We start from the raw sequence: 12,232 nt of genomic DNA, 5'->3' as shown, positions 1-12,232 counted from the left end.
TCCCTCCTGCTAGGGATTAGAAAGGAAAATGAGACACAGCCCCAGCCCACACGAACCTCTAACACTGTAGAGGAGAGTTTCACCTACTGAGTGGCATTTATAATTTAGTTACCATGGGTATTATGGAAGAAGTGAGAAAAACTGGAAGCAAAAACAACTTTAAACTAGTAGAAGCCCTTATCCCTATTTCTGACTAGCTTTTTAAAAAGTATTTAATATATTTTTTAAACTGACAATATAAACCTCACCAAATTTTCATTATGATCATCTGCAATTAATGTTTTCCATGGTTTACTGTGAACACATACAGTACCATCCATGGTACTCTTCTTTTTTTTGAGACGGAGTCTTGCTCTGTCGCCCAGGCTGGAGTGCAGTGGCGGGATCTCGGCTCACTGCAACCACCGCCTCCCGGGTTCACGCCATTCTCCTGCCTCAGCCTCCCAAGTAGCTGGGACTACAGGTGCCCGCCACCACGCCCGGCTAATTTTTTGTATTTTTATTAGAGATGGGGTTTCACCGTGTTAGCCAGGATGGTCTCGATCTCCTGACCTCGTGATCCGCCCGCCTCGGCCTCCCAAAGTGCTGGGATTACAGGAGTGAGCCACCGCGCCCGGCCCCCATGGTACTCTTTAACCAACAACACTATTGGTTAAAAGTCCCGGGAACAGCTCTCCTCCTAACTTCTGGCTTGTCTGCAGTGCTCAAGATAACAAATGTCTTACCTTTCTCTACTGAAAAAAATCTCACTGTCCCAATGTCCTTCTCCAGAGTGTCTTTCCACCTTTCATGAAGTCCAGGGGGCACCATAATATGATGCTCTTGTCCAAAGGTTGATCTCTTAATTATTACTTGACTCTCTAATGGATCATCCAGCAGGGTTCTTTATGTATCATGCTTGGGGATATTCTGCTAATAAAATGCACCCTCTTGTAAAATATCAGAAATAAAAAACTCAACCACTAATTTTATTAATTAGCCATGCTTACAAAATTGTGCTGCGGTACATACAAACTATGAAATTCCAAACTCAGCTGATTAGGAAGAAACTATTCTTTAAAACAAAAGGAAGAAGTAAAAATGAAATACTCACAAAGCAGTATTTAGAACAGAAAGTACTATTTGTGGCCCAGCGTGGTGGCTCACGCCTATAATCCCAGCACTTTGGGAGGCCAAGGCGGGTGGATCACTTGAAGTCAGGAGTTCGAGACCATCCTGGCCAACATGGTGAAACCCCATCTCTACTAAAAATACAAAAATTAGCCAGGCATGGTGGTGCATGTCCACAGTCCCAGCTACTGAGGAGGCTGATGCAGGAGAATCACTTGAACCTGGGAGATGGAGGTTGCAGTGAGCTGAGATCGTGCCACTGCACTCCAGCCTGGTGACAGAGCAAGACTCTGCCTCAAGAAAAAAAAAAAAAAAAAAAAGGACAATTTGCTTAACTAGAAAATAGATATCACTTGTAATCATGAAAGTATATATATATATATATATATATTTTAAACTAATAAAGTACAACATTTATCCTGGAAAGTGTTTTTAAGTATACTGCTAAACTGCATTGGGCTGTTAAATAAGCACTTGTATACTGACTGTGTTAAGTAACTCTAACAGTGTAAAATCAGTTAATGAAGCTTAAAAAAAATTGACGTGGGAATACCACAAAAAGGCAAAGAAAACAAGCTGTTTTTCATCTACTTAAACAATTCAGTGACTGCGCTTGATTGCCAAGTCAAAGTTACTACAGCATTTCCCTGGAACCTGATTAGCCTGGAGCTTATTTGGTAAAAACATGGAATTTCTTTTCATTGTTGCTATTAAAACTTTATAAAACAGCTAATAATAGAAACTCCACTCTGCATTCAATGAAAAGAATGATCTTGGTTTACCAAAATAAAATAAAAATTAGGAGAAATAGATACCCACTTGATCTTCTTAGGTGAACACCAGCAGATTACATTAATACTATTCCAGGTACCCGTGTGTTCCACAGCTCTAAAGTCAGAAATCTGCATATGGCAACATTTTTATTCTAAGGTTTGTTTATTTGTCCTTTTCACCTGCCCACCTTACAACCCTAAGATGAGAAATCATCTACTCATAGCCACTTTTAATTCTAAGATTTATTTGCTTGTTTGGTAACCTTCCCAACTCATACACTAACTCTTTACTTTATTGGCTCTCTTAAATTCTGTCAGTGTTCTATCATTTCTTTCCTAGGAGTTGAGAACTACACAAAGAAAATTATATTAGCCAGCAATATGTCTGAGCAATTTTCCATAAGAAAACATTCAAAAACTATGTATCATAGATTCATAAAATCTCAGGAATAGAAGGAACTTTAAATCTTATTTAATCCAGCTACCCTACTAGTCCCAAGCATATAACCTTAAAACACCTGCAATGACATTAGTTGATTACTTCTCAACCACAGCCCATTCAATTTTTAGCTGATTCTGACTATCAGGACAAAAACGCTATTTCCAAATCTTCTACCCAATGATCAGTTATATATCTTGGAACCTTCCCCACCCAAGAAAAATAATCAGCTTATTCCTTCTCATCAGGCCTTCAAATATTTGAAGATAGCAATTTTATCTATAGTTAGTATTCTCTCCATTATGCTAAGAATGTCCAGTTAATTCCTTATTTTCTTATATGACATGACTTTAAGTGCTTCCATCAAAACACCCACCTTTTTAGGAACCACATAAGATTTAGAATCCGGACTGGGTCAAGGAGAAGTAACCTACCTGAGGTGGCTATACATAAGGCCTTTTAGAGCCAAATCCTTGAAGAAAAACTAAGAATCTAAGCCCATGACAACCAATACTAGTAACTGTAGAATAGCAGGAATGTGATTAACAACAAGAATCAGAGCACAGAGTGTATGGCCAGGCAGACACAGGAGCAGACTGGAGACACCCAGGAGGATGATCTGGAATGCACGTGACTGGTGGTGTTCATCTTTATCAACTAATTGCTCTGTGGGCATGTGAAGGGCTAGCTCAAAAGCTACACATAACAACAGCTACACATCCCAGGGCCTCCCTATATGGTTCAAAAGGTCCCTTTCACAACCAATTGCCCAATATCCCAAAGGTGACAAATATATATATAATTATCTGGTCTGCAATAGGACATGAAACCTGATAATACATGAGTAAGCAAAACAAGTCATTTAGAAGATGAATCTTAGGCTACAGATTATCTTCCACAACAATGTAAAAATTGTAAAGTTTTAAACAAAAATAAAACCCCGAAACAAACATAAAGTAGAATATGTCCCATGGAGAGAACCAATACATCACCAGACTGTGCCATAACAACTTAAGTTGTAATAGCCAAAAACTAGAAACAATCTGCATGACCATAAACAGTAAATGAACTGACAAATTGTGCTATAACCATGCAATGTAATACTATTCAGCAAAAAGGGGGGAGGTGAATTATTGATACACAAAACAACATGGTTGAATCTCAAAAATATTATAGTTAGCAAAAGAAGGTATATATAAAAGAGTACATATTGTATGTTTCCAATTGTAAGAAATTTCAGAAAAGGCTAATCTATCGTGACAGAAAGTAGATCAATGGTTGTCTAGGGCTAGGGATGCGGTGATGAATTAACCTCATGGGGGCATGAGGGAATTTCTTAGATTGATTAAAATATATATTGACTATAATGGAGTTCATGTGTGTATCCATTTGTCAAAACTCATTGAACTGTAATAAAATAGGTTCATTTTGTCATATGTTGATTTTTTAAAGTATCAGAAAATCTCAATAAAGTTAATTAAAAAAAAAAAAAAAAAAAAAGGTGGGAGGGGGTCCCTGAAGAAACTCCAGCCAGACTGCCCACTGAGGTGGAGACTTGGGAAGTTCACGCCCTTTGCAGTGGGGAGTGAGCCTGGCCCCTCCTCTCCCTGTGTGGAACCTGGGATTCAAACGGCAGGTGGGAAACGCTCTAGCAGGGACTCTGGCCTTGCATAGGATCCCTGTTTCCCTCTTTTTTCCCTTTTCACCCAATAAAACCCTGCTTTACTCACCCTTTAAACTGTCTGTGAGCCTAAATTTTCACAGTCATGGGACAGACAGGAATCCCACCTTTAGCTGAACTAAGGAAAAGTCCTGCAACAGTAATATTTGAAAACCAGTTAGACCCTTACACTTACATTAAGGATATATATAAAACGTCAAGAGTGAAAATAGTTTTTGAAAAAAAAAATTGTTTGGGCTTTTTTTTTTTTTTTTGAAATGAGTCTCGCTCTGTTGCCCAGGCTGGAGTACAATGGCGTGATCTCAGCTCACTGCAACCTCCACCTCCCAGGTTCAAGCAATTCTCCTGCCTCAGTTTCCTGAGTAGCTAGGACTATAGGCGGCACCACCACAGCTGCCTAATTTTTGTATTTTTAGTAGAGGCAGGGTTTCACCGTGTTGGCCAGGCTGGTCTCGAACTCTTGACCTCAGGTGATCCGCCCACCTCAGCTTCCCAAAGTGCTGAGATTATAGACTTGAGCCACCATGTCCAGCCAAGGATGCTGTGGACCCCAATCTTCCCAAAAAGGGAGGGAAGGTGTGTCATTCCTTACCTCAAATCTAGTGAAAAAGCTTCAATAGCACTACTCAGAAAACCTAATAACTGCTATTTCAGAGTGGGGGAGAGACTGAATTATCTGATTCAAAGTTGAGAAATCTAAGAGCAGAAACTAGCCAGCCACTTTATGGCAGAGCAAAGGTGAGACAGCAATTTGATTATTATCCTGCCCTCCTAGAACGCATCAGAACAAAGAATTCTAGAGGGTTTTCTGTGAGCCACGTGCAAGAGAGCACTAAAGTGGAGTCATTTTAGGTCTTGTCCAAGAGAGTAGGCTGGAAAGCTGAAAGGTCCTCAGCAGAAAGTAACTAGATATGAATGACTGAATTCTCAGGAGACAAGGAAGCAGGTACATGAGATGAGATGTAATAAAAGAACATCCTCCCTTTTCAAGGATACTCCAGAATAAGGGATCTCCAGAGACTGGAGAATCTCTTAAAAAAAAATTTAAAAAAAAACTGCAAATGAGTCCCACAATAGTCAGTCATACACATCCACCAAGCTCAGAGAAAATGAGGGCAGTGTTTGCAGTACCAGTGAAGGAAAAAACTTTCCTGCCCTCTCTGGTATCTCCACTACACCCTCCACCCAGCTCTAATGCCAGGAGAGTTGGAAATCATGGTTAGCAGGCGTGGAGAGAAGAACACGCGAGGTATAGAAAGGAAGAAGCAGCTGTCAATACGCTCCCTAACTGCAGGCAGACAGCCCATAGAAATTTCAGCTCAGAGACAGATGTTTTCACTTTAAATCAAGTGTGAAGTTTGACAATCCTATGGGGTTAGGCAATTTAACTTCTGGACCAGTACTATTTGTATTACCTATGAATAACCAGAAAAGTAGAGCATCTTACTGAATTTTTTAACTGTTGGAGGAAAATAAACATTCCCACCGAATGAATATTAACGAAAGAAGACAAAAGTAAAATTGCTTTCTGATTCTGTTCCACGATTGTGCCTGTTCAAAACAACAGCTGTAGCACTCATTAGTGCGGATCATGAGGGAACAGGGGCAGTCCTAGGAAGTGCCGCTGACAACAGGGTTCAGACACAGAGACACAGTGTGAAAGCCACCCCTGGATTTGGGCAGCACAGCAGCCCTGATGCCAGGAGCTTTACATACATGACCTCTGATGGTTCATTTTATGTGTCAACCTCTCTGAGCCACACGGTGCCCAAATTAAATGTTCTTTCAGAGTGTGTTTGTGAGGGTGTTTCAGTATGAGATTAGCATTTGAATCAGCGAACTCAGTAGATTATCCTCCCCAGTATGAGTGGATATCACCCAATCCATTGAGGGCCTGAATAGAACAAACGGTGAAGGAAGAAAGAATTTGCTTTATTAAAATTTATCTCCCTGAGTGAGCTGGGACATCTCATTTTATCTTATCCTGCTTTTGGACTGGGATTTGCATCATTGGCTGCCCTGGTTCTCAGGCCTTAGGACTTGGACTTAATTATACCACCAGCTTTTCTGGGTCTTCAGTTTGCAGACAGCAGACTTCTCAAACTCTTCAGCCTCCATAAACATATAAGCCAGGTCCTCATAACAAATCTCCTTTTATTCATATATATGCCTATATAGGTTTGTGTATGTATGTGTGTGTGTGTGTGTGTATATATATATATATATATATCTCACAAATATAAACACAAATGTTTGTGTGTATATACAATCTCTCCACAACTTGTGAAGAGATTAAGAGCACACAGCTACGCCCCCATTTAATCTCTCACAAAGTCAACACTAAGCACTAGGTTTCCCACTTCTCAGATGTGTGTCCTGTTACATTAGTTTAACCTGGTCATTTCTACTTTCTAAAAGTCAAAAGGCTTTTGTCTTCTCACATAAAAATTGTTCAGCAACTAATTGTTGAACAACATGATGAATGAATCAATCTAATCAAATGATGCCAAGCTCTAATGTCAACATTCAACTAACACAATGTCACCATTTTTCTACCTCCTGCGATTTTTATTCAATTTTATTTATTTTTTTATGGCTAAACCTGAGTGACTAGATATAATAGGGTCATATTTGTCAATCATTAAGCATCAGTGTTTTTGCAGATGTCATTTTTTTGTTTTTTAAGAATCTGTCCTCATTTTGCCTATCAAAAGAGAAATACTCAGCAATGTTCATTTATGCATTTAACAAAAATTTATTGATTGTCCCCTTTATACCAATGTCTCAGAACTCAGTTCTATTCATCTAACACACAGTGGCTTAAGCCAAAAGTGAAATAATTGACTCAAATGATTGAAAGATCCTTGTATAAAAAGGTTTTAGTCCTGGCTTATTGAAACCACCAGGTCCCAAGTATCTCTTTCCATCTTGCTGAGTTCTGCTTCCTCTGGATTAGGTCCATTCTCACACAGCCTCTCCACTCATGGTAGTAATGTGGCCACAGCAGTTCACTTAGCTATCTCCTTTCAAGCTTAAAATCTAGTGGCAAAAAAAAGAACCTGCTTCCCTAATAACATGCTTTTAAAGTCTTAGAATTTAGTATCTATAGATAAAGGGTTAACAGAACCATTTTCCCTGCTGCATGAGAATCTGACCTTTGTTCAACCATTTAGCTCTGCTCCTCTGGCCATCTGATAAGAGTCAAGAGTCAGGATATCACTAGATAATATTGCTTACCATAAATTGCTTACCTAAAATAGGACCCTTGATTAGTAAATTGCATCTGGACTTGGAGGAACTATAAATCAACTAAACAACTGATGGGGCTGCCATGGTTTGGACTTCCTTGAGTTCAGTGACTCTTCCAAATGACGTTTCTCACAGAGACCCTTCAAGTTAAGCCTAAAGATCTGTTACAAATGATATTGGTTATTGGAGATGATGATTTCCTCACCTGTGCAACGCAGATTATGTTTTTTTGTACCTTAGCTTTATTGCTAGGCTGGACTGCTGCAAGGACTCTTGCAAGAAATAATGTCTAATTCCATTCTACTGGAAAGCTGTGTTTTCTCTCCTATGACCTTCCTTGTACAGTGGTATCAAGGATGATGTATGGAAGTGAGCTTAAATGTTTAGTTTAGCTGTGAAGACAACTAGTCAGTGTTGCAGTGCCTATCTCTGAACCAATAACTATAACCAGGGGAAAAGAAAAGAAATGACTGATTGGAATAATCTTAGCTTCATGTTCTGCCTGTGGAAGAAGGGAATGCTGAGCTGCTTCACTGAAACTTCCGGGGCTGACAATGGGGCAGGAGTGGTTGCCTAAAACCCAATCAGAGTTCTTACCAAAAGGAAGAAGAATCAAAAGCCCAGCAACCAAAACAGCAAATATTTACTATGCAATTAACTTCTTTCCACATACTGCATCAAAGCACATGGAATTCTAATTCTTTCCTCAACCAAATGATAATTACATATGAATAAATTATTAATATACATGCGAATCATAAAAACTGCACACATTTAAATTTCAAATACAAAAAAATCTACAATAAGTTATTGGTGGTACCTATTTAGAAATGACAATCTACAACTAGACTTTGGCTTACTTATTAGGGGTTCCATGAAAGGATTCAGCAATAAATCTTCAGATGTCTGTTAAAATTTTGATTTCCTTGCAAATGGTTTAAAGTGAAATATTGAAATTAATTTGTCTAAGAGAAAGTTAAGAGTATAGACTCTAAAAGAAAAATACAGATGTGAGGCCTGCTCTCTCTAACTAGCAGTTGATTTTAGACAAAGTCATTAAATCTCGATTTCTCAATTCATTATGAGAATGATACCTACCTTACTGTATTATTTTGAGAAGTAAATAAATACATATAAAACACATGAGTGCCTGGCAAAAAGGAAACAGCACACATTTCCAAATCAACCATTATCATCATCATCATAGGAATTTTAAAATTTGATGTATACAATCCACATCTCAACTTGACATTTTTTTTTTCCTACTTGTAGTCACTTCCATAATGTGGTAAGATTTTGTGACTTTGGGGGAAAACAGGCATCAAGTAAGAGAGAAAGCTTTATTTAATCAAACTTTTAAAAATGGCTAATGTAAAGCAAGATATACAGAAATGTGATTATATACAAAGTTGATTACTTGTGCAAATATTCCTAGGCTTTGAAATTTAGGGATTTGCGGAAGGGAGTCCCCAAAATCTATACCTGGCAAACACCTAGAATCTGGCAAAACTGCTGCAAAAATGGGCCCGATGCAATAACGAACCTGTGTTACACTGACTAAGTTCCATGTCATTTCAGGAAATAACAACGCGGGGCTCATTATGTGTTACGCAGTGTCCTTGAAAAGCTCACAGTCTAGTGGGTAAAAAAGACCCATAAATAAGTAAATGCAATGCAATGTGCTAAGTGCTGTGTGAAGCCATGCACTGGGTGTTCTTTTCCCATAGCAGATGGGGTTAAAATTTGAGATACCTTTTAGTCAGATTATATTCATTCCACTGCATTTCAGGGGCTCCTCTGTGCCTGTCTGTAAGAGCACATAATCGTAAAATACCAGCCCTTCCCACTCCCTAGACAGGCCCATGTGAACATCAGTGAATTAATGTACATTAAATCATTGAGCTTTTCTAAAATAAATTGCTGTTTTAAAAAATAAATACCCAAGGGACTGTCAGTGAGATGATCACAGCATCCTGCAATCTGCTTTTATCTTTATCAAAAGAAACTGAGCACAAACACAGCATTGACATTATTTCAAAAGCATAAAGAAGATGACAACCACCCAGATACATAATAGTCCCAAAAATGCAGACCTATGCTTTATCTGATGAGAGAAAGAGAGACAGAGAGAGACAGACAGAGAGAGAGAGAGGAGAGAGAGAGAGAGAGAGAGAGAGAAAGAGAGAGAGGAGAGATGCCAGGGTGAAGACAAAAGAATTGCCTCCAAAAAATTCTGCAAGGACTTTATGTTTCTAAAAAGGAAGGAAATAGGAAATAGAGGAATACAAAAGAATTTTAAACTAGAAGTGAGTTTAAAGATTATCTAATACACTCATTTATTTTACGAAGACCTAAAGAGATTAAGCAGCTAGTCTAAATTAATAGAGGAGCCAGAAATAGAAATCAAGTCTAAAACTCTCCCCGCTATGGAATTATTTTAAGGTCTATCATCATATTGATAATAGTGTAGTACCTGCATCAGATTCTCAGCAAGTTAAATAGGCTTTTGTTTCCAAGACTAAGATCTACCATTTTTGACATTGCTTTTGTGAAAAATAATAAAAAAAAAACAACTGAACTTTCTAAATTTCAATAAAACTTGCAAACAAAAAGAAACCTCCCTAATATGCCCATTTTTCGTTTCATTCTTATGCATTAATAATACAGACTTCCTCATGTTCCTGCCAATTGATGACTTCCTCTCATTTTTGCCCTCATTTGAAACAGTATCTACTTTATTACCTTTTAATTTTTTCCTAATTTATTATCATGAATATAAATATCAGAAGCCTGATAGTGTCAGCACAAATTTGATTTTGAATGAGAACTGCCCTGAGGAAGGGATCATAAAGTAAGAATGTCAAAATGCTTATACATTGTACAATTTCAGGTTTCCCTCCTAAAACCCATCATACTCTATGCTTTCACCAATTGACATTAAACTTGACTCTTCTCTTTGAAACAAAAGTGCTTAAGTTTTTTAAATACGTGATGGTTCATCCCACTAAAAGTGCTGAAGTATTTAACTGTTGAAAAGGCACAGCTTGAAATGCATCATAAACTAAAACCATCATCGGAGTATTCACTCTCATATTTTCTTCACCTACCTTCATGGCAAAAGCTTTTGACACTTAGTAATATGTTTAGCTGTCTAATGGAAAATAACAAAATGAAAAACAGGAACAGTCATAAGTCACCTTGCAAAGTTACATCCCTGAACTTGAACTGAGATTCAGTAAAGATAACCACAATATAGATCCATCGAGTATGTAATTTTAGGTTCTGTTTTAATCTAGCTTTGAGAAAGTATTAATTGTTTTCACTTTGTAAACTTAAAATGCTTTTGGCCCATTACCCAGGTAGATGTTAGACAGAAAAGTGCCTCTTATATTTACTGCTAGCATTATAATAAACATTTTATTGTGACCATTATCTGAGGCCTATTTCAGTTTTCATTGCTGTGGTGCTTGCTACCTCTCCAAAATATTTTACAAGTAAGAAGTCTGAACTAGGGAGATGGCCTGAAGCTACTAAAATTGGAAATCATCATTTTTAATGTTTTCATCAACAAGGTCATTCGATGTTCTCCACATTTGTTAGAAAGCCTGCTAACAGGAAGAGAGAAAACAAGTAGTAGATAATCCAGAGTTACGAGTGTCAAGCAAGTATAACAGAAGGAATAGGGGCAAAGGCATTGACACTGGTGAGGAGAAAGTGGCTGGGCCTTAGCCTGACAGGGAAGGGAGTGAAGCCAGGAAGGAAAGATAGGCCAGGAAAGTAAGGTGTTTGAGGTTCAAGTCAGACTTAATTTCAAAGATTATTTAGTCTCCGTGAGGAAGAAAGAAAGGTACAATATTTGGGTCAGAGTTTGACATTTCAGAGTTTGAAGATTTTATACAAAGAGCACTTCTAGATGAGGGCAAGGTCAAGCAGAGAGTGATGAGGAGGAGGAGGAAGGTAAAACAAAAATGAAAATGAAGGGCACTGCTGTGAGCAGGTCATGGAATGTGAAGCCATGTATAGGATGAGACATCCATGGAGACAATTCTTCATGGGTGTCTCGCATTTCCACACATATGATTGTGAGCTACGTACTAACTACTCTTTATTCTGGACTATATTTTTTAGGATATTTGTATTGTGAACAGCCTTGGAAGACAGAAAGCATCTCCCTCTGGAGTAAAGGGCAAACATGCTAACTCTGCCCATTATAGAGATTCAGGCACCTTAAGTTCAGGGTTTCTCTCCTAAAATGCAAACTACTGAATTATTGAGGCACCATCCAGCCCTCTTCTCTATGAAAATTGGAAAACGGGCTCATATTCTGGTTACTGCTATTACTGTGAGAAATAAACAATATAAGCAGTTCTTTACCTCTGAATCAGGAGCCTCATAGCTTCTACCAGCATACATGAAACTATGCCAGGTTAACTTGTTGCCTTGCAAGTAGGGCACAATCTCAGACCCTTTATGTTCTTGACAGTTTTGACAGTGAGGATGGAGTGCTGGAAAATATATGGGTTTCTGCAAGAGGAAAGATGAGGACATTTAACAAAATATGAGAAAAGTCTATGAGAACTGGTAGTAAACATGTTAATCAAACGGTATGGTCTATGGATAACAAATAGTCCCCCAGTGCATTTTTTCAGTAAAGAGAGAAAAAAATGGGAAGGTGATTACAGGCCTACTACTAGAAAGTGGATTCAAAGACAAAATCAGTTGTTGCTGACTCTCCTTTGTGTAGGATGACTTCCTTGCCAATCAATCAGCCTCTGTTCTTCCCTCTTGCAACAACTAGTGTCAATATTCATCCTGGTTCCATGGGGAAACTGAATCTTTTATAATGGGCAGTGACCATGCCTGCTTACACCCTTGAAAAGATGATCTTGAACAAAGAAACATCTGTAACTAAGGAACTTTCAGAACGAAGAGCATCACTCTTAATACATGCAGAAAAGCAAGAGACACATGGAGAACTGT

At 38.3% G+C, this 12,232-nt stretch overlaps 1 long non-coding RNA gene across 2 annotated transcripts in view; it reads right to left on the bottom strand.

The window, feature by feature from the left end:
• Positions 1-664: 664 nt before the first annotated feature.
• LOC105370461 (uncharacterized) overlaps positions 665-12,232 on the bottom strand; it is a 433,650-nt gene continuing 422,082 nt past the window's right edge. The window contains exons 6-8 of one of the 2 annotated variants that reach the window (XR_007064121.1): positions 11,627-11,776; positions 4,053-4,134; positions 665-912 (exon numbers count right to left, since the gene is read on the bottom strand). This is a non-coding gene — a long non-coding RNA (uncharacterized LOC105370461). Of the gene's footprint in view, positions 913-4,052; positions 4,135-6,435; positions 11,777-12,232 lie in introns of those variants that run through there. The other variant, XR_007064127.1, reaches the window with a different exon arrangement.

This window comes from Homo sapiens, chromosome 14 (genome assembly GCF_000001405.40).
Source record: "Homo sapiens chromosome 14, GRCh38.p14 Primary Assembly".
NCBI classification, from domain to species: Eukaryota; Metazoa; Chordata; class Mammalia; order Primates; family Hominidae; genus Homo; species Homo sapiens.
This window is presented reverse-complemented; position numbering and strand designations above follow the sequence as displayed.